The 23,115-nt window shown below is 45.2% G+C and overlaps 1 protein-coding gene and 1 long non-coding RNA gene across 5 annotated transcripts; one reads left to right on the top strand and one right to left on the bottom strand.

Moving 5' to 3' along the window:
* Nucleotides 1-3,798: 3,798 nt before the first annotated feature.
* On the top strand, nt 3,799-7,441 carry LOC107985662 (uncharacterized). Of its 2 annotated transcripts, none has more exons than XR_001755992.2 (3): nt 3,799-4,027; nt 4,990-5,189; nt 6,944-7,441. It is a non-coding gene; the product is annotated as an uncharacterized LOC107985662 (long non-coding RNA). The 2 variants fall into 2 exon arrangements; XR_001755991.2 differs by having other exon boundaries at nt 3,804-4,022.
* A 9,013-nt stretch (nt 7,442-16,454) lies between these two features.
* H2BW2 (H2B.W histone 2) lies at nt 16,455-18,953 on the bottom strand. 3 transcript variants are annotated; one of them, NM_001388464.1, is made up of 4 exons: nt 18,505-18,953; nt 18,023-18,081; nt 17,803-17,821; nt 16,455-16,797 (listed from the first exon to the last, which is right to left on the bottom strand). In NM_001388464.1, the coding sequence occupies exons 1-2, from the start codon at nt 18,912-18,914 to the stop codon at nt 18,045-18,047; spliced, it is 447 nt and encodes a 148-aa protein (NP_001375393.1). In that variant the 5' UTR covers nt 18,915-18,953; the 3' UTR covers nt 16,455-16,797; nt 17,803-17,821; nt 18,023-18,044. The 3 variants fall into 3 exon arrangements, with proteins under 3 accessions (NP_001375393.1, NP_001157888.2, XP_011529224.1); NM_001164416.4 differs by having other exon boundaries at nt 16,455-17,821; XM_011530922.3 differs by lacking the exon at nt 17,803-17,821.
* Nucleotides 18,954-23,115: the final 4,162 nt, after the last annotated feature.

The raw sequence follows: 23,115 nt of genomic DNA, 5'->3' as shown, positions 1-23,115 counted from the left end.
CCCTGGGCAGCGGGGTGGGGGATCTCCCCCCAGCCTGGGCTGCTGCAGCCCATCCCTCTGAAACCGAGGAAGTGGGACAAATGCCTGGAACTTGGGAGGTGACCTCTGTTTCTGGGACGAAGAGAGAGATGGCCCAGTCCCCTAGTAATGTGCCCCTGGTTCTTGGAGGCAGTGACGGCCATGCCAACCTCTGACCCAACTTTCTAGTCCTTCTTCACTGTCTCAAAAATGAAGAAACGGTCACAGCTGGGTACCTCAGTCAGTCCCTTTCTTGCCGGTACAGTCCAGGAACTCTAACAGCCTCCTTGCATTTCATCCCATCTTTTTCTGGTTCAGTCCATTCCGGCAACATTTTTTTGGTATAAAATTCTCAAAAATTTTTTGGCTTCCCATGGAATTCACATGAGTCCAGGCCATCAGGCAAGAAGTTGTCTAAAGATCTTTCTTGAATACCCATATCTCCCTTATCTCAATTCCTAACTTCTGCAGAGATGGTTGATTGGATCTGAGCCACATGTCTCTCCTCTTAGGCTAATGGTTTTCCGGGCACACCCTTGCACCTATTTCCAGAGCAAGGTGTCTGCATACTTTGAGTACCTTCTGAACCATCCAATGCTGGCTTCCTTTTCCTTAGTGCTTCCTTGGCTAATTTCTCTCTCTTCTCTCCCATTTAATATACAGATCTAGGAGAAACCAGATTAAATCCTAAAAACTTTTCTCAGTTTGCCAGTGTAGTGACCAAGGTTCCCCCTGCTCCTCTTAAGTTTCGCTGAAAACTGAAGTCACAAAAGGCAGATCCATAGGACATAAGGCATACCAACTTATACAACGTGTATCCCCGGGAGCCTTTAGTGTTAATAGCCAAAGACACATGGGAAATTATCTGTTTTTATGCCTTGGCTCAAAGGAATACAGACAGCCGTGTAGAAATATGATGGGACAAAAAGGCTATGATCTAATGCCAATAGACAGAGTGGGGGAAACCCGACAAGGCCTGTGTGTCTAGACTCCGCTTGGCCTGTCTGAGCACACAGTACTTCCTCCCGGATACGGGGCAGGACCCTCTCTGGAATGGCGATCTTGTGACTTCCTTTCAAACGAGATAGGTTAGATGATTTTTTCACAGACAGTTTTTACATGAAAATGTGGAAAATGTTACAATACATTTCTAGGTTTTGTGACTACCTTTAGAAAAAAGAGCTTCTGATTTCTTGGACCCACCTTCGGGAAGAGGGATTCTGGTCTTTATGTTTAGCCCCTGGGGTAGAATGGGACTGACAGACAGGAGGACCAAGAATGTCAGAGAAAATCTTTTTCATCTGAGACTACTTCTGAAGCCCTCATTTTGGGGTATTGTGCCCTGAGCTCCAACAATAGAAATCAGCTACATGTGCATGTTCATCACTTACAATTTCTACTTTCCTCAAAGACACTAGGAACACAATACAGCCCAAGCCTTTGCCACTGTAAAACTAGGATGGCCTTTCCTCATGCTTCCAATAACCTCTTCCTAGTCTCCATCTGAAAACACACCAGAAGCACCTTTAATACACATAGTTCTAGCAACATTTCGGTGGTCATGATATATGTATTCTCTAAGTCAGAGATCCTTTCTCTACAGCAAAGAACTCTTTCTTAACCCTCGTTTCAATGTCATTTGGTGTTCATATTTTCCCCCGCCATTTCCTAAAGGCACTCTAGGCTTCTTGTGTCGTGCATATCAAAACACTTCTGGCCTGTATGCATTACTTACTTCCAAGGCCTCTTCCAGTCTTTCGGATGTTCCTTATCACATCATCCCACTGCTTGGCAACAGAACCTCTAGTAGTTTGCTAGGGTCATTCTGACAAAGTACCACAAACCTGGTGGGATAAACAGCAGAAATTTATTGTCGTGGTTCGGCAGGCTGGAAGTCCAAATCAAAGCGTCAGCTGGGTTGGTTACTTCTGAGTAGTAAGAGGGAAGGATCTCTTCCAGGGATCTTTCCTTGGCTTGTAGGTGGCCCAGTTCTCGCCATGCCACTTCACATTTTCTTCCCTGAACACATGTCTCTGTGTCTGAATTTCCCCTTTTGGTATGCAAAATGCATACTAGTCATTTTGGATAGAGCGCACCCTAATGAATGTAATTTAACTTGAGTACCCCAGTAAAGGTCCTACCTGCAAGTAGGAGAGAGATGAGGGGTCAGGAGTCTAATAGTTACATTGGAGATAGAGGGATCTTAGCTTGCACACTCCTTATGGGAACCTAATGAACGACGATCTGTCACTGTCCCCATCACCCCCATATGGGAACATCTAGTTGCAGGAAAACAAGTTCAGGGCTCCCACTGATTCTACATTATGGTGAGTCGTAATATTATTTCATTACACATTACAATATAATAATAATAATAGAGATAAAGTGCACAATAAGTGTAATGCACTTGAGTCATCCCAAAACCATCCCCTCAATGACGTTCTGTGGAAAAATTGTCTTCCCTGAAACCGGTTATTGGTGCCAGAAAGGTTGGGGACCGCTGGTCTAGCTATCTCATGTTGGCAAACTGCAATCCCACGAATCATTTCTTATCTTAGCCTATGTCTGGGAATAGGGGCAATCTTTGGAATTACTTCTTCTCTGAAGAGGGTATGGCATCCAGTCGCTATTGAACTTCAGTACACTATTGAGAAGTCTAATTGTCAATGGCCAATAGATTGATCCTCTAAATTAACCCACTAAATTATGTTAAAAGGATTTTAGAGATTTGTCATTCTAACCGATTGATAAAAATGTTAAATATATAAAAAGATACATCATGGTGTGGCAGCTAGCCTTAAAACTTGGCTTGACAAAAGTGAAGAGCAAAAATCAGACCAAAACAAAGATAACCTCCTGTGTCTGCTCAAACTGCCCCATGTGGGAATAACAACAAAGGCCACTCCACCTTGTGACCTTCGAGTCCAAATTCTGCACTTTCGCCTCAACGCCGTGGGTTGCATTGCTAGTCAGGAAACCCGCCCTTCTTGGTTGGATATTGGTGTGACTTTTGGGGAGTATCTATTTCTTATTGACCCTTTTCCCTTCCTTGGATTGCTTTTGATTTCCTGTCTTCCTTCACCTGCGATGCGGGCACATGAGGCCCTTTGGCCTTCTTGTGGAGATAGCTGAGAATCTAAGATCCTAGAAAATTTGGTAGGACAAATATGTGGGTTGTATCCTGTGAAAGGCTAGCAAAACTTTCTTTTCTCTTTGAGCCGTCTGGGGTTTGGGGCAATTCTGGACCTTGTGAAATCTACTTTCCGCCCCTTTGAAGACACCTCAGGCATCCTTGGTTGTGTCATAATCTTGGTGAAACTTACTGGAACGATACCTTTACTTTACAGAAAACAAAACAAACAAGAAAAGGTCAAAACCCAGAAATATCAGCTGCTTGTCTTCTGCTGCTGCTTGTGGGCCATAGTGGCATCGGCCGCTTTCCGCTCCTTCGTGCTCAGGCCTTTGTCAGAGGTCGTCTCAGAGGAAGGCTTAACCATCTCAGAGGCAACTGCCAGTGGATGTGAGGAACAGACAATGATGGTTGACCACAGGCGGGAGGGCCTTTTATAGTCACCACATGGTTACGTCACAGGCCACCAACTCCACATCTGACTGAATGAAGTGCCAAGCAGGGAGCCTACCAGCAATCCTCCCGGCCTCAGAGGCAACTCGATGGTCCTGTTGCTTGGCAATCACAGTGGGTGTCTGTCGACATGCTCCCCGCCTCTCACCTGCCACGGAGCAGGTGCTCAACCCCGCCCACTCTCAACTAGGGCGAGCTCTGCATTCCACGCATTCTTCCACTCCTGTTCTGCGACCACTCCAGTTCCAAAAAAGCTCGGTGGTACTACGAATCCTCTCTAAATCATACTCCTCATCTGTTTATTCCTTATTTCTTCCTCCAGGAGCCCACTTTCTCTTGAGAAAGCTGCAGATCCTCGTTCAGCATGGTGCACCAGGGTTCCCAAAGACCTGATGTGTGAGGCTTCTTTGCCTTTTCATAGGTAAGGTGAGCACATAATTTCTTGTTGAATACATATGGGGGCAGCTTTCAGAGTAAATGCAGCACTATGAATCATCGGGCTGGGACAACAGGCAAAATCAGGACGCGTGGCCACCCTTCTAGGGGAAAGATCTGGGGATAGAATAAGGGCATCCTTTGGGGTTTGAAACACTAAAGTTCTTGGGTAATGAGACCAATTTACTTTTAATAGCTTTTTTTTTGTCTTCTCTTTGAAGTTCTGGTGACTTTATTTCCTGGAGGCAACTAGTGTGGCTAGGCTGCATTAACATGGGAAAATGACACAACATCGTGAGAACGTCTGTTTGGGTCTTAGGACTCATGTGAGCTAGTGGGACCAGACTCGACTGCAAGAGTGATTGAGGGCACGGGTTTGGGAGTCAGAGGAGATCTGGGTTCAGACCTCAGCTGTGCCTCTTACTGGCTGTATTGCCTTGCGCAAGTGGCTTGACTTCTCTGAATCTCAGTTTCCTCCTCTGTGGAATACAGATCTAGAAGGTGGTTGTCAAGATCCAGGGTGATGATGCAGATGGGGTGCCAGATACATAGTCTGCAACCAATGAATGTCGGCTGTACGTGGTTCCAATACCGAGATTCGTGTCCTCGGGCAATCACAGGTGGTGGGGGTGGGATCCAGTGCCAGACAGCTGTATGAACACGCTCTCCTGGCTACCTGGGCCCCATCTGTTTGCTTCGGGCTGACAGTGAGATAAGGGACAATGACTTTTCCCTCCTGAGCCACATGTTAGTGAAGCGGTGGAGATAATTCTGCTCTGAGTCCTGACGGGAAGTTGCTGGGGAGCAACTTTACAGTGCTCCTGGCTTGGGGCACTACCCACTCGGGGCTTTGTGGCAAGCTATTCCCCCTCACGGCCAAGGAACCTGGCTTCCCATACCACCTCCTTTCCTCCACCCACCGTCTCCCTATCTGAATCCTATTCACTTTTCAGGTCTTGGCTCAAATCCTGACTCCCCTGTGAAGATGTCCTGACCCTCCCAGCCTAGAGCCACTACTCCCTCCTTGAATCTCAGGATCTCCAACTGTGACATGGCCATACTATTTGCCACATCCCCACAGACGGATTGTGATGAGGAAGGAAAGAGAGAGTCCATGTAGCATGCTAGATGCGGTGTCTGGTGCAGGCCTGTGGTGAGTTCCCTGCCTCTTCCTCTTCCTCCCCTCTGACCCCCAGCATGCAGGCATGGCGGCCTTGATCACCTGCTGCCTTCTCTAGATAATCCTTGGGGATCATTCCTGTGCTAGTTGTCCCCTCAGTTGCAATGTCACAGACCATGGGGCCACATCTCATCCTTCCTCACCTTCCAGCATCCAGCACTACAATAAACACCATCGTAACCATTTTTCATTGGGCATCTTAGGGTACCATGTGGCAGGCACTCGGCTGTGTAGGTAATGCACACAAGTGTAGTCCTCACTCATTCCCCTCCTAGCTCTCTTCCAGGATGTGCAGGCATTGATTCTCCTTTGAGTTATATCAGACAGATTGTGTCAACCGCTACCAAGGTCGCATCATGAGTAAGTAGCCCTGACAGGCATCAAGTACTATGCTAGATTAAGTTTCTAATGAATGCCTGCGAAAGGGTGGTTGGCAGGAGGGACAGATGTAGAGCCCAGAGTACGACTGCCTGCCCCGTGCTTTTACCCGGCAGAGGCAGGCCTGCTTGAGAGAAAGCTGTACGCAATAAAGACATAGGATTCAGCGGGTCCTCGAGCTTAGGAAAGGGGATATAGTCGCTCCAGGACAGGGGGAGAAATGGAGAGGGGATGAGTCACGCTAAACCTCAAGGCAACTGTCCCAGGGAATTCCACAGTGGCTCCAGTATCCCCCAAAATAGTAGCTGATGACCTACCCACAGGCCATCCTCGAGATGAACTGTAGAACAAGCCCGGGTCAAGCGAGCCTCCTTGGAAGACATTTGTTAGCCTAGAAGATGTTGAATCCCTTGGGAGCCCACGATGGGCATTTCACTCCTACAGATCCGTGAGTGAGAACCAGGCCACAAGATCACCCATGTGACCTATGATGCAATGAGGAGACAGGCTCCACTGTGCTTAAGTGTCCCTTGCAAATAGAAGCCAGAGGAGCCGCACTCAGTGCTATTTATTCACCCTATGCCTAAGGTCATTGGGGAAGGTCCCAGACACCTTGTACTGGCATACTTGATGCCTTGGAGGGGCTGGCTGGAGGGCTGAGCTCAGCTGGGCCTCTGCACCTCTCCAAGGCCCCTCAGAGCATATCACTGTGGTGTCTCCAGCAGGAGAGGTGGGCTTCTTTCGTGGCAGCTCAGAGCTCTCAGACAGCCAGGCAGAGGCCATTCTAGTCCTCTGAAAGGTTACCTCTGGGACAGGCTAACGTCCACCATTCTCCATGTGTCAAAGCCATCACAGGCTTGTCGGGAGCCCAGAGGGAGGGGCAAACAGATGCGACCAATGGGCCAACGGGAAGAGCATTCAGGAATGAGCAGTCTTTCTGAGATGCGGCCTATTCAGCATACAATTCTTGAGATGCTGCTGGGTGGTACACATGGAGCATGTGCATAAAAGAAGAGGTGCTTTACTCTCTGGGTCAAAGCGGTAGGCTCTCTAATGGTTTTAGGTTGGACCTATCACTATAGGGTGACCTCTCCCATTTAGTGGATCCTCCTTCTCCATGCCGCAGTGATTGCCCTTAAGTGGCATGGAGTTTCTAAGCATTATAGATGCTCTTTCTCCCTTCTGGGGCCCTGGCCATACATAAACAGACACACAGAACAACATTAAGGAGAATATGGGAAATCAGTACTTGTTAATAGTAGCTTGACTAGAACCTGGTCTCAATATCTGAGCCTCCAGATTAGGGGCCCCCGAGTGTTCCAAATTCCCTCATCAACCTCCTCTTTCAGGGCTCCCCTAAAATGTGGCACTCCAATGACAATCCATCCCTCTCTATGGAGCCTACGACAGCACACACCTCAGCGTTCTAGAGAGGACAGGTTTCAGGCCACCGGAGGAATTTAGGGAGTGACTACAGGAGCGACCTTATCCCACACTGTTTGAACAAGCACTGTGGGCCAATGGCCATGGACTGAGCCAGTGGAAAGTGGGGCTTGGACCCCTCTGATTGGACGTTTCCATCATCCCAACGATGCGTTAGTTCCAAGTCATGAAGGTGGGTATTTCCAGAAATAAAACAATATAACCTGGAAAAGAACAGACAGAATCAGATACATTAGAAGTAGTTGGAGTAATAACTTCAGTTTCTAGGGAGCTTGGAGAGGTATTGATTCTTGAACTTTATGATGTACTTATGTCATCAAAAACACATACATTTTGTGGATGGGTGATACTAAGATATTTATTTATTCTTTTTATATAGTTTATATATATATATATATATGTTACATATATGTATTTTACATTATATATCTTTTTTAGTTTTTTCTTATGACTGGGTCTCACTTTGTCACCCGGGCTGCAGAGCAATGACGCCATCTCGGCTCAGTGTAGACTGGACAATCTGGGTTCAAGCGATTCTCCTACCTCAGCCCCATAAGAAGCTGAGACTGCAGGCATGTGTCACTGCGCCTGGCTAATTTGTGTGTGTGTGTGTGTGTGTGTGTGTGTATTTTTGTATTTTTGGTAGAGATGGGTTTCCCCATGTTGCCCTGGCTGATCTCGAATTCCTGAACTCAGTTGATTCACCCGCCTTGGACTCCTGAAGTGGTAGGATTACAGGCACTGTGCCGGGCCCTAGATATTTAAATGATGTCCATAATATGGGTCCTGTTGTAAGAAACAACCTGGTTGGTTACGTCTGTCGTATTAATACATCTGTTTTCTAGGTTGACAGTTATACTTTGTCACAGAAGCAGTAAAACCATTTCCTTTTAGATTGTCCTTTCCGTAAACCTCACCATCAGATCACGAAGCCTCCCTAGGCGTCCTTTTTCCTCCTGCACCCGCTGAAGTCAACAATCAGATGTCCTCACCTCCCCTTGGATCTTCCACATCAAACCCCATTTCCCTCAACTCCTTCCTAAATTTCATTAGTGTCAGTCAACTTTGAGCTTCTGGGCTTCAAGTCTGCAGCCCGCTTCTGATGCATTTTTGAATGTCGTATGGACAAACACTGGCATTTTGAAGCAGTAGCAATGAGCATGACGGAAATTAAGTGATGTGTAGAGAAATTATATATTTTTTTCCTCTGATGCATAGAGTTCTGTTTTGGAAAGTGTGCACATGCCCGCAGAGATCCTTTGTTTTCCAATAGTTTAAGACAAACTCAAGGCACCACCCAGAGGGATTGGCTTGCAGTTGAATTGTAGTAGTTTCTCCTAGTCTGCTTAGGAAAAAAATGTTTTTCCAAGTCTTTTCATGATGTTCATTTACTTCTCCAGAATAAAAATAAGTAATGAATTTTCTGAGGTGGCTCTTTGTCCTAAATTTTCACCCTCATGATCCAAAGAAGAGTCTTGAAGATATCATTTCCCACCAGAATTCTTGTGATTTAGGCCTTGAAAACACAGACATTTATTCCCACTCCTCAATCTAGCATTGTGCCCTTCTTGCCTGGGCTACTCAAGGATGCTTCCCCTAGTATCCTCCCTTACCCCCATTCATTTACTTGAGGTCACAGGGGTCTACCGAAGTTAAAGAAACTTTGTGTTTTATCTCTCCTGGAGGGTTGTAAGCTCCTTCTGATGGGCTACAGAAAAGCGTTCATTTTTGGACACTATCCAACATTGGTCACATGGTTTCGCTGAAAGTGATGACCCTTATAGGTTTGTACCTACTACTGAATGGTGGAGTTTACAAGTTATCATAAAAGTGCAAATGGAACACTTAACAAAATTAGCCAAATCTAGGACTTTAAAGCAAATAGTCATACATTTCTGAGGATTGAAATCACAGAGTATCTTCTCTCCCTTTTGAGCTGGAAAAGGACAAATATATATATATATATATACATATATATATATATATGTATATGTATATGCATATATATTATATATACAATACAATTACTCAACTTTCAAGTAGACTTTAAAAAACATGGGTAGGGATCACCTTATTTCCCTTCATCAGTCACCAGTGTTCTCTTAACATACTGGAAGAGGCTGGAGATATCCACATCTACAACTCAGGATTCCTATGTTCTGTTTGTTCAGTTGTGCTCCCCGCTGCCTCTGCCACACCAAATACGTGAGTTTGACTCCTAACCTCTCATCTCTATTCTACTTAAAGATGGTTTCTTTACTGGGATACTCAAGTTAAATTACATTCATTAGGAGATATCACCACTGATTTCACAGAAATACAAACTACCGTCAGAGAATACTATAAACACTTCTATGCAGGTAAACTAGAAAATCTAGAAGAAATGGATAAATTCCTGGACACATATACCCTCCCAAGTCTAAACCAGGAAGAACTCGAATCCCTGCCTCTGCCGGGTAAAAGTCATGGGGAAGGCACTTGTATTCTGGGCTCTACGTCTGTCCTTCCTGCCAACCACCCATTCTCAGGCACTCACTAGAAACTTAATCTAGCATAGGACTTTATGTCTGTCGAGGCCACTTACTCATGAAGCGACCTTGGTAGCGGTTGACACAATTTGTCTAATATAATTCAAAGGAGAATCAATGCCTGCACATCCTGGAAGAGGGCTAGGAGGGGAAAGAGTGAGGACTACACTCATGTGCATTACACACATAGCCGAGTGCCTGCCACATGTTACCCTAAGGTGCCCAATGAAAAATGGTTATGATGGCTTTTATTGTAGTGCTGGATGCTGGAAGGTGAGAAAGGATGAGATGTGGCCCCCATGGTCTGTGACATTGCAACTGAGGGGCAACTAGCACAGGAATGATCCCCAATGATTATCAAGAGAAGGCAGCATGTGATCAAGGCCGCCATGCCTGCATGCTGGGGGTTCGGAGGGGAGGAAGAAGTGTAGGCGGGGAACTCACCACAGGCCCGCACCAGACACTGCACTTAGCATGCTATATCGACTCTCTCTTTCCTTCCTCATCACAATCCGTCTGTGGGGATGTGGCAAACAAGTATGCCCATGTCACAGTTGGAGATCTGGAGACTCATGAAACGAGCAGTGGCTCTAGGCTGGGAGGGTCAGGACATCTTCACAGGGGAGTCAGGATTTGAGCCAAGACCTGAAAAGTGAATAAAATTCAGTTAGGGAGACGGTGGGTGGGGGCAAGGAGGTGGTATGGGAAGCCAGGTTCTGTGGCAGTGAGTGGAAATAACTTGTCACAAAGCCCCGAGTGGGTAGTGCCCCAAGCCGGGAGCACTGTAAAGTTGCTCCCCAGCAACTTCCCGTCAGGACTCAGAGCAGCATTATCTCTACCGCTTCACTAACATGTGGCTCAGGACGGGAAAGTCATTGTCCCTTATCTCACTGTCAGCTCGAAGCAAACAGATGGGGCCCAGGTAGCCAGGAGAGCGTGTTCATTCAGCTGTCTGGCACTGGATCCCACCCCCACCACCTGCCATTGCCTGAGGGCACAAATCTCGGAATTGGGACCAGGTACAGCCGGCATTCATTGGTTGCTGACTATGTATCTGGCACCGTGTCTGCATCATCACCCTGGATCTTCACAACCACCTTCTAGACCCCTGTTCCACAGAGGAGGAAACTGAGGCTCAGAGAGGTCAAGCCACTTGCCAATCGCAGTACAGCTAGTAAGAGATACAGCTGGGGTCTCAGCCCAGGTCTCCTCTGACTCCCAAATCGATGCCCTCAATCACTCTTTCTGTCGAGTCCGGTCCCACTAGCTTACATGAGTCCTATGACCCAAACAGACGTTCTCAAGGTGTTGTGTCGCTTTCCCATGTTAATGCAGCCTAGCCACACCAGTTGCCTCCAGAAAACAAAAGCACCAGAATGTCAAAGAGAAGAAATCATGAAAAAGATGCTATTAAAAGTAAATCAGTCTCATTGCCCACGAATCTTTTTGTCCCAAAACACAAGGGACGTTCTTATTCTATTGCCAGATCTTTCCCCAGAAGGGTGGCCACACATCCTGATTTTGCCTATTGTGCCAGCCCAATTATTCGTAGTTCCCCATTCCCTCCAAATGCTGCCCTCACATATATTCAACAGGAAATTGCTTGCTCACCCTACCTATGAAAAGGCAAAGAAGCCTCACACATCAGGTCTTTGGCAACCCTGACACACCATGTTGAGCGAGGATCCTCAGCTCTTCCAAGAGAGAGTGGGCTCCTGGAGGAAGAAATAAGGAATAAACAGATGAGGAATATGATTTAGAGAGGATCCTAGTACAACCCAACTTGTCTGGAACTGGAGTAGTCAGAGAACAAGGGTGGAAGAATGCGTGGAACGCAGACCTCGCTCTAGTTGAGAGTTGGCAGGGTTGAGCACTTGCTCTGCGGCAGGTGAGTGTTGGGGAGCAGGTCGACCGACACCCACAGTGATTGCCAAGCAACGAGACCATCGAATCGCCTCCAAGGCCAGGAGGCTTGCTGATAGGCTCCCTGCGTGGCACTTCATTCAGTCAGATGTGGAGTTGCTGGCCCGTGACATAAGCCATGGGGTGACTACAAAAGGCCATCCCGCTGGTGGTCAGCCATCATTGTCCGTTCCTCACATCCACTGGCAGTTGCCTCCAAGATGGCTGAGCCTTCCTCTGAGACAACCTCCAATGAATGCCTGAACATGAAAGATCCCACAGCAGCCGAGGCCACTATGGCCCACAAGCAGCAGAAGACAAGCAGCTGATATTTCTGGGTTTTCACCTTTTCTTGTTTGTTTTGTTTTCGTTAAAGTAAAGGTACCTTTTCAGGTAAGTTTCACCAAGATTATGACACAACCAAGGATGCATGAGGTGTCTCCAAAGAGGAGGAAAATAGATTTCACAAGGTGGAGTGGCCTTTGTTGTTATTCCCACATGGGGCAGTTTGAGCAGACACAGGAGGTTATCTTTGTTTTGGTCAGATTTTTTGCTCGTCACTTTTGTCAAGCCAAATTTTAAGGCTAACTGTCACACCATGATGTGTCTTTTTATATGTTTAACCTTTTTATCAACTGGTTAGAATGAGAAATCTCTAAAATCCTTTTAATATAATTTAGCGGGTTAATTTAGAGGATCAATCTATTGGTTATTGACAATTAGAATTCTCAATATTGTACTGAAGTTCAATAGCGACTGGATGCCATATCCTCTTCAGAGAAGAAGCAATCCCAGAGTTTCCTCTTGTTCCCAGACATAGGCTAAGATAACAAATGACTCGGGGGATAGCAGTTTGCCAGCACACGCTGGGTAGACCAGCGGTCCCCAACCTTTTTGACACCAGTGACTAGTTTCAGGGAAGACAATTTTTTCCATGGAATGGCATTGGGGGTGATGGTTTTGGGATGACTCAAGTGCATTACACTTATTGTACACTTTATTTCTATTATTATTATATTTTAATGTGTAATGAAATAATTTTACGACTCACCATATTGTAGAATCAGTGGTAACCCTGAGCTTGTTTTCCTGCCACTAGACGGTCCGATATGGGGGTGATGGGGGACAGTGACAGATCATCAGTCATTAGATTTCCATAAGGAGTCTGCAGCCTAAGATCCCTCAGTCCCCAATATATATATTAGACTCCTGACCCCTCATCTCTCTCCTACTTGAAGTAGGTCCTTAACTGGGGTACTCAAGTTAAATTACATTCATTAAGGTGTGCTCTAACCAAAATGACTAGAATGCATTCTGCATACCATAAGGGGAAATTCAGACACAGAGACATGCGTCCAGGGAAGAAAACGTGAAGTGGCATGGGGATAAATGGGCCACTTACAAGCCAAGGAAAGATCCCTGGAAGAGATCCTTCCCTCTTACTACTCAGAAGGAACCAACACAGCTGGCACTTTGATTTGGACTTCCAACCTGCTGAACCGTGAACAATAAATTTCTGCTGTTTATGCCATCAGATCTGTGGTACTTTTTCAGAATAGCCCTAGCAAACTACTAGAGACTCTGTTGCCAAGCAGTGGGATGATGCAATAAGGAACCTCCAAAGATTGGACGAGGCCTCGGAACTAGGTAATGCATACAGGCTGGAAGTGTTTTGACATGCATGACACAAGAAGCCTAGAGTGACTTTAGGAAACAGCGGAGGGAAATATGAACACCAAATGCAATTGAAACGAGGGCTAAGAAGAATTATTTGCTGTAGAGAAAGGATCTCTGACTTAGAGAATACATGTATCATGATCACCGAAATGTTGCTAGAACTATGTGTGTTAAAGGTGCTTGTGGCGTGTTTGCAGACGGAGACTACGAAGAGGTTATTGGAAGCATGAGGAAAGGCCATCCTAGTTTTACAGTGGCAAAGATTTGGGCTGTATTGTGTTCTTAGTGTCTTTGAGGAAAGCAGAATTTGTAAGTGATGAACTTGCACATGTAGCTGATTTCTAGTTTTGGAGTTCAGGGCACAATACCAAAAAATGGGGGCTTCAGAAGTATTTTCAGATAAAAAAGATTTTCTCTGACATTCTTGGTCCTCCTGTCTCTCAGTCCCATTCAACCTCAGGGGCTAAACCCAGGAACCAGAATCCTTCTTCCCGAAGGTGGGTTCTAGAAACCAGAAGCTCTTTTTTATAGTCACAAAACCAAGAAATGATATTGTAATATCTTCCACATTTTCATGTAAAAACTGTCCATGAAGAAATGATCTAACCTATCTTCTTTGAATGGAAGTCAGAAGACCCCCATTCCAGAGAGGGTCCTGCCCCGTATCCGGGAGGAAGGACTGTGTGCTCAGATAGGCCAAGCAGAGTCTAGACACACAGGCCTTGCCAGGTTTCCCCCACTCAGCCTATTCGCATTAGATCATAGTCTTTTTGTCCCATCATATTTCTACACAGATGTCCATATTCCTTTAAGCCAAGGCATAAAAATGGATAATAATTTCCCATGTATCTTTGGCTATTAACACTAAAGACTCCCAGGGAGACACATTGTATAAGTTGGTATGCCTTATGTCCTATGGATCTGCCTTTTGTGACTTGAGTTTTCAGTGAAACTTAAGAGGACAAGGGGGGAATCTTGGCCACTACACTGACAAACTGAGAAAAGTATTTAGGATTTAATCTGGTTTCTCCTAGATCTGTATAGTGAATGGGAGAGAAGAGAGAGAAATTAGCAAAGGAAGAACTGAGTAAAAGGAAGTCAGCATTGGATGACTCAGAAGGTACTCAAAAGATGCAGATACCTTGCTCTGGAAATAGGTGCAAGGGTGTGCCTGGAAGACCGTTAGCTAAAGAGGGGAGGTATGTGTCTCACAGATCCAATCAACTGTCTCTGCAGAAGTTAGGAATTGAAATATGGAAGATATTGGTATTCACGAAAGATCTTTAGACAACTTCTTGTCTGATGGCCTGGACGCATGTGAATTCCGTGGGAAGCCAAGAATTTTTTGAGAATTTTACAGCAGAAAAACATTGCCAGACTGGACTGAACGGGACAAAGATGGGACGAAATTCAAGGAGGCTGTTAGAGTTCCTGGACTGTACCGGCAAGAAAGGGACTGACTGAGGCACCCAGCTGTGACCATTTCTTCATTTTCGAGACAGGGAGGAAGGACTCCAAAGTTGGGTCAGAGGTTGGCATGGCCGTCACTGCCCCCAAGAACCAGGGGCACGGTACTAGGGGACTGGGCCATCTCTCTCTTGGTCCCAGAAATGGAGGTCACCTCCTGAGTTCCAGGCATTTGTCCCACCTCCTCGGTTTCAGAGGGATGGGCTGCAGCAGCCCAGGCTGGGGGGAGAGCCCCCACCCGGCTGCCCAGGGCTTAGGGTGTGAAGCTGTTACCCCATTGGGCCTGAAGGACAGAGCACTGAGCCCAAGCAGAATCTTTTCCATCTTTAGAATGTAACGGAATTTGCCCCCATTAGGTTTCAAAAGTGCTTAGGGCCCACGTACTCCAGTAGTTTTTCGGATTTCCTGCTTTTGGTATGATAAGCCCTATCTGGTATCAGTCTCACAACTGTCTTTCAGAAGGAGATAACTTGTCTAGCTTCACAGATGCAGTGGTGGAGAGAATTCCCGCCTCAGCATGAATCATACCTGGAGGCTCACCCATTCCAGATATAGAAGATTATCAGGTGAGATATTAGAGAATTGACGTTGGAGTGAGTTAAGTCTTCAGGGATGTTGTGATGAAATGAATGTATTTTCTATGTGAGGTTGTTAATTTGTGTCACGGAGTGGTGCAGAAGGTGTACTAGTATGTATGGAGTTGTGTCTCCCTACAATTCAGAGGTAGAAGTCCTGGCCCCCAGTGTTTTAGAATGTGACCTTATTTGGAGAGAGTCTTTAGTCAGGTCATCTGGTTAAAGTGAAGTTATGAGGGTTGACCTTATCCAACAGGATTGGTCTCCTTACAAAATGGTGACAATTGTAATCCAGAACTGTGAGATAAAAAATACATAGTGTTTAAGTCAGCCAGTCTCTGGAATATTTTTCAGCGGCCCTAGAAAACTGATAGAATACACCTCCATCAGAAGCATTGAAAGCATACAACCCATCGAAGAGCCAAAGAAGCACACCCATGTAATCACAGGTTTCCCCTTCAACTCCCATTGAACATCCCTGGACAACTAACTCTACCTATTTCAGACCGGGAAACCTGATCACACATTGGGCCATGGCCCCTTGGCTGCAGTTGCCTCACTGGCTGACACGGATCTGAGTGGAGCTTGTGCTGCTCCATTGGACGGCATTCCATCATCCCCATGATGCACTGAGGCCAGTCATGAAGGTTTTCTTAAACAAAAGATTCTAGCCTGAAGAAGAGCAGAATCAGGTAAATCTAAACAAGTGAGATTTCATTACGAAGGAGCCTAGAATAGGTATTGTTCCTTAGACTTTTTGATGTAGTTTTCTCTGCCGTGTTTGTGTCCTTGCTTATATTTTCAAATGAACTCCAGGTTACAGGGAAGGCTGATCAAATGTTTGACTGGACTCTCTTTATCCCATTCATGCTGTTTTCCCTACATTGATACTTCTTATTTGTTGTTTAAGCAGTAAAGGTCTTTCCCGTAGTTTGCGTTTCTTTAAGTCACAGCATGACATCATGATTGCCTAATAGGTTCCGCTTCTGCTCAATGACCCAAAGAAATACCATATCAAATGTGTGAGCTTCCTCCTCCGATCTTCACATCAATCCACCCCTTTCCTCTTTCTTCCTGTAATTCACCGGCATCAGTCCCCTTGCCCCCTCACTCTTCACTCCCCACAACCAAATCAGATTTCATTGTTAACCCTGTTTTACTAATGGCCCTCTTTGATTTCTGAATTTACAAAGGGAAAACACATATTCCAAGGTAAAATATCTCAGTGGATTTGGTTTCTCAAAAGGACTTGTCTAATTACACACATATGCAAGGGTAACTTCAGAAATTTATTCGTATGTCTTAATTCACAGAAACATTGGCATTTTACAGCAAAACAATTAGCATAATGAGAAATAAGTCACTGAGTGAGATGTGGTGTTTTGTCAGGTACACAGCTCTGTCTCTGGGAAGAAGCAGGGTTCTGGCAAGGGTCTTTGGTTTGGCAAGGGTTGTTCCGGACTTGTAGGAACATTTGGTGGCACCATCCAGAAGGATTTACTTGCAGCTGATTTTGTGGGGTTTTTCTTGGTCTCCTCGTGCAATAAGCACAACTTCAACTATTTTCATAACATTTCTCTTCAGCTATTTCTGTAATATTTTTCTAATAATCTGGAAAAACAGAAAGTAACAGATCCCAATGAGTGGACTTCTTGGTTCTATATCATTTCTCTATGGATCCCAAGTGGAGCTCTGGAGGTGACCTTCCCCTCTTCCCATCTGCACTACTCAGGGAAGCTCTGGCTACCATCTTGCCCTGACCCTGTTTCCCTCTTGACCAAGGGGTCCTCTTTAAATGGTGGAATAATCTATGTGGCTATGTGTTGGGCCCTCTGGGGTGGTTCTTTCCCACTTCTGATGGGCTCAAGAAAATTTTGATTTTTGTCATTTATCCAGCTTTTGTTTCATGGTTTGACTGAGAGTGCCATCCTTTACTGGTTTCTACATATGAAGGAGAAGGGTTGTTTATGAGATGTTTCAAAATTTACGGGAAACATTTAACAAAAATGGCCACATGTTGAGCTTCAAGGCACAACATAATAAATTCCTGTGGGTTGCAGTCCCAGAGTATGTTCTCTTGTCCACATACTCGGGCGACTGGAAATCAATGGAAAAGGAAAGCAATGGGAAAGTGAGCACCTGCTCTGAAATTCAGCAATACACTTATAGAAAAAAATGCTTAAAATGCCAAGACTTGGGACCCAGAAGAGAGCACAATGAAAGGTAGCCTATATTAATATTAACATGAATATAAATATGCTAATCTTTTGAGGAAATAAGCCTTATCTGACTTCTACTAATGGTTGCCAATGTTCTGTATAACTTGATGTTAGGGACAAGGTACATATTCTAATCTTAGCTTTGGATTCATATCCCTAAAAGATCATGATTACAAGCAATGCAAACAAAAACATCAGGTAAAGAATCACACTGCCGTTCCTTTAAACACCAGGTTGAATATAACAGGAAGGCTGCTGTGGGTTCAGCTTGGGTCACTCCCCCCACATTGGGTCAATGACTGTTGCTCATAGACTGCAGGTCACTCATTGGCTGTACCACTGTACACTAGGGCATGAGCTGTTTCCGTGGACACTCCGTAATCCTACTGACACACACCTGGAAGTAAGGAAGGTTTCTGTTCAAAAAGAAATGAAAAAATTACTGTCAGTACAAAAAGAGAATGAATTACAATAGTGGTCTCAGAGTCGGGGAAGCTGGAAAACGAATGGATTCTTGAAAATTTTATTTAGCCATATATATACTGTAACTGGGCCTCGTTTGCTTATTTACATGGATTCATGATGAGAGAGATGCTGAACACATTTAGGAGGGTTACCTTGCTTCTTGTATCAGCATATTCACTTTCTCTGTTGCCATATCGCACATAATGAAGTTCTGGAAAATCCCACCATCCAGTCGTAGGAGAATGAGAGTGAAAAAGGTAAACATCAGTACATTGATAACATCATCATAAAGATAACCTAGAAAGATAACTAAGAAAAACGGCCATTTGGGAAACTGAGGACACGAAACACGATTACGGAAACACCCCCTACTTTTCCTTGGAGCATATTGCACTACAGATATATTGGAGTTGACAGTGTTTTGCACTGTGGGAAAAATGCTTGAAAAACCGCAGGAGGCCACACGGCACATGCCCCCCAAGCTGGAACGGTGCCACCCACACCAACCTCCGGTGGGGTCCCCCCCTTGGCGGGCCACTGGCCTATAGGGCCACGGGCGGTGGTTCTGAATAGAGCCTTTGGGTTTCCCAGGTGCTCAGGCGCTCCTGAGACAGCTCACTTGCTTTTGGTGTACCTGAGGGCGGCATTCGTGCCCTGGGCCTCGGCGAGCTTGCCCATCTTCCCCGGCAGCAGCAGTCGCACGGCCATCTGGATGTCCCGGGAGGTGATGGTCACGCGCTTGGTGTAATGGGCCAGCTGACCAGCCTCGGTGGCGATGCGGTCCAATATGTCATGGATCATAGAATCCATGACACTCACGGCCTCCTGGGAAAGGCTGAGGCCCTGGTGAACCTGCTTCAGCACCCGGGGGAAATAGGGGGTGAAGCTGTCCCCGAAGCTGTCCCCACGGCGGTTGGCGTGGCGCCTGCGGGAGCCTCGGCACCCTCGCCTCTTCTGCTTCTGGGCCTTCGTGGAGTTGGCCTCTTTGGGCTCCTGGATGCTCTGGCCTTCCTCCGAGGTTGTCTCAGAGGAAGCCTCAGCCATGGCGGAAGCAGCGGCCATTAGATAGCAAGAACAGAGAGTGACGGTTGGGGACCAGGGAAGTGGGGGGCACTTTGGTATGGTCGCATGGCTCTACGTCACATTCCAACTCGACATCTGATTGGATGAAGTGTCACCAAGGGCGCCTCTCAGCAATCTTCCCTCCATTGAAGGTGATCGGATGATCCTGTTGCTTGGAATCATGTCAGCCAATCACAGAGGGCGTCTGCCCGCCTAAGTGGCCGGGTTGCCTACCTCAGACAAAGGTACACAGAGTCTTGCTCTGTGGCACACCTGCAGTGCAGTGGTGCGGTCTCAGCTCACTGCAACCCCTGCCTCCTGGTTTCAAGTGATGCTCCCTCTTCAGCCTCCCAAGTAGCTGGGAGTAGAGGCGCGTACCACCACACCTGGCTAAGTTTTGTATTTTGTGTGTGTGTATGTGTGTGTGTGTGAGAAACATGGTTTCTTTATGTTTCCTCAGGCTGGTCCCAACTCCTGGACTCCAGTGATTCTCCTGCCTTGGCCTCCCAAGCTGCTGGGATTACAGGCATGAGCTATTGTGCCTGGCAGAGAAAACTTATTTCAAGAAAATAAAACATGATGTTGATACCCATTGAAGGATGCACACTACAAAAATCTGAGAACATTTATAAACTTGGTTACAAAACTCATACCTGAAATATTATAAATTAAATCACATTACACACACACACACACACACACACACACACACAAAGGGAAACAGTTTACTGCTGTAAATAACAATTTAGAAGCATCAAACGGGGCAAACATTACTAATGGAACAAGCAGACCTCATATAATCTTTTTTCAACATTACCTCTATTATACAATTCATTTAAATACATAACAAAAACCCACAGTGCAGAAATAGCTAAATCAAAAATTCAATGAACAGCACCCCTTTCAAGCTTCCGAGAAAATAAAGTAAGGACTCTAACTCATTCACATTTGTCTAATTCTATTGTTTCCCAGTCTACAATCTTTTTTAATGCAAAGCTTAATGTCCTGTGAGTATGCATCACTTACGATGGAAGTATCCAATGAGAGCACCCAAACCCCACTCTCCACTGGCTCAACTAATGAAGTGTCTTCAGCCCTGGGCCTGAGCCACTGGCTCAGAATGTGAGCAGGTGACCAGTCCTGAACCAATAAATGCCCTCCTAGCTGTTCAGCCTTGTAAATTGAGGAGAAAATTAGTTTGAGGTTTTTGTCCACTTTTTATTTCTTTGTTTGATTTTTCGTTTTATTGTAATTGTGGTGAATTAAAGATTTGAATCCAAAGCTGTGAGTAAGCATGTCTCCTACCTCTGGCATCATATTATGAAGGCAAGTTCTCTGAAAAGGAATTTGGAGGAAAGAGACTATTCCTGTGAACAGCTTGCACACCAGGGAGGGGCAGACTTCAGTGTAAAACAAAGGCGAAGTTCCAGAGAACTAAAAGAGGATATGGCTTTTATAGAGAAAGTTCCCATCGAGGTTCTCAGTACAGTCCATTCATGCAAATAAAGGATTCAAAATTAGTTCTGATTGGTTGACTCAGTTGATCTCTGATTGGTCAACACGACTGAGCCCTGATTGGCAGGGGCAGGTGAGCTCTGGCTGGTTGGTTCAGGTGACCTCTGAAAGTTGCAGAGTTAGATAGAGGTATGGGCTTTTGGGGAATTCCTAGTACATGTGTGAGCTCTAGTCTGCACGTGGCAGCTTGCTTGGCTCTAGTTTAGATTTAGGCTCAGTCACTGGGATCCATCTGGAAAGACTGGCTCTTTTAGGTTTACATTTGTCCACAAGTTTAATAAAATGATAGTGACCAATTAAAAAAACTAGGACGACTCTCCTTTTTTTTTCAATTTGATTGTTGTGGGGCTTTTTCACTTTCAGGCACATGTGTCTGACAAAATTAACCCACTATGGTAATTTGAGACAATAAAAACACTTACTTCAGTACAAAGCTTTCTCCAAAATATGATTGGCCCTGATTCTTGATGCAATATAATAGTCTTCCCCTTTCATTAGACTGTCACTCTGCAATAAGGGGGAAGGAGTGTGGAAGTGAGTGGGGGCACAGAAGAAGCTGTAAAGGGTGGCTATTTCCTCTTTTTCCTTATCCCAGACATTTTCCCTAGTATAGTGACCATGTGTCCTGATTTCACCTGTTGTCCCTTAGTAATTCTTAACAGCATCCCCTTTCACTCTGAAACATGTCCAAATTTACAAATCTGTACTTCCCAATGTAACTAGAACATGCAGGAAGTTGTGAGTGTAGTAGATCTCAGATCTTTGTTGAATGAACAGATAAATAAATGAACCTATGTTAGATAAGAGACTGGCCCATGACAACCTATGAGACCATTGCTGAATTCTGTGGCTAGTCCACACGACCCATCGGGACCTCTTGGGTACAGTCCCCTTTCCTGTTCTGCACTTAAAAGGAATTATTTCTCTACAAAGCTGTCTGAGTCCCCGTGTTAAACCCATGAGAATGTCAGATTTTGTTTCCTCCATGATCTGCATATCACATTGACTCCTCCCAATAACTCTTTATGGTGTAGATATTTTAGCCTCAACTTTTTGGCAGACAAGAAACACAGTAACTAACAAACGTGTCCAGTGATCACACAGCTGATAAATGGAAGAGCAGAAATTCAAATCCACGTCAGTCTGAGTCCAGAACCCAAGCACTTGAACGTTGTCTCCTGCCATCCTCTCTCATACTGCGGTGATGGCACCTTCAACGCATGAATACGTAGGTAGACAGTCTGAGGTGAGCCTCCCCTTCACAACAAGTCTTTACGTAGTTTGATCTTTCCCTGAAGGCAACGTGATAAATTCAGAGGTGTAAAAGCAAAAGCATCAAGTTAGCCTTCCTGCAAATGTATACAAGAAACCTGATTTTCTCGTGCAGCCACGGGAGTTTCTTCAAGCAGCAGTTAGCAAATTCAACCATGCCTGAGCTCAATTGTGTGTTTCAATAGCTGTCTGAAACAAATGCATAGCCATTCCATGTTGCACAATTGTGTCCAATGCAGATGGACTCCAACTTAGCATGGTTCAACTTAAAATTATTTACCTTTGTGATAGGTTTAACTGGACTTAACTCCATTGTAAGTTGGGGAGCATGTGTTTAGTCTGTTGCAGATTGGTGAGAGACAGGGTGGGAAGCAGTGAGTGGGGAAAATTTTCAGGTTAGGGTTATACAGTCATTACCCGATGATCAACATTTAGCTCTGTGATGGCCAATTTCATGTCTTGTCTCGTCTTGTCTTTCCAACCAGGGGGAGATTTTTTTCCCAAATAAGCAAAGATAGAGATCTAGGTAACTCGGCTTGGTTGGGTTACAGTACCTAGATATGTGGTCAAATTTTATTCTCAATGTTTGTGTGAATGTCCTTTTCGGTAAGATTAACATTGAAATCAATGGATCTGAGTACAACAGACTGCCCTCCATATTGGCCTGAATAGACCAAAAAGACTGACTTCCCCCAAGCAAGAGTAAATTCTGCAACAGACAGCCTTCACACTTGAACTGCAACATCGGCTCTCCCATGGGTCTTCAGCCTCATGGTCTTTAGACTTAAACTGTCACCTCAGCTTGTACCTGGGACTCTAGGCTGCCAGCCCACCCTGCAGATTTAGGACTTGCCAGCCTCCATAATCACATGAATCAGTTTCTTACAATAAATCTCTCTCGACAGATAGATGGATAAATATCCTATTGGTTTTATTTGTCTGGAAATCCCCTAATACAAGCTTTCTGCACCAAAACATTGCTGCAGAGATCTGTGTGTTTTTCCCACATGTAAAATATCCACTTAAATATGAGACGTTTTCGTGATTCCATTAATCAATACCTTTGCCTTTGATTAGTGACTACACTGTTAAGTCAGTAGTTTTTCCTGGATCTTAAGAGATGTTTCTTCATCATTTGATATGACTGGGGACAACAACGTATTCAGTTCAATGGTAAAGTTGATGACTTAATTAAAATTATTATCACTGAAAATAACAATCCCTTGAACATTGGTAGAGTCCAGGTGGCACGTGCTAACCAGAAGAGTGAATGAACTTACCCTACTTCTGACCTTGCCAGTTAATTGCACTCCCTTTCATTACCACCCATATAGCTGATACTCATATGGGTTGGTGTCAATTAAGCCAGGCATTGCTATAGTAATAAAAAGAGGCA

This window comes from Homo sapiens, chromosome X, assembly GCF_000001405.40.
Source record: "Homo sapiens chromosome X, GRCh38.p14 Primary Assembly".
Lineage (NCBI taxonomy): Eukaryota > Metazoa > Chordata > Mammalia > Primates > Hominidae > Homo > Homo sapiens.
Note: the sequence above shows the minus strand (reverse complement) of the source record. Positions and strands in the feature narration are given on the sequence as shown.

Excerpts from the sequence above, each read along its gene's own strand:
- H2BW2 (XM_011530922.3), bottom strand. The coding sequence starts at position 18,932 with ATGGCCGCTGCTTCCGCCATGGCTGAGGCTTCCTCTGAGACAACCTCG. Across the intron at positions 18,082-18,504 it reads GGCACGAATGCCGCCCTCAG|AACTTCATTATGTGCGATAT; the intron begins GTACACCAAAAG and ends GGGATTTTCCAG.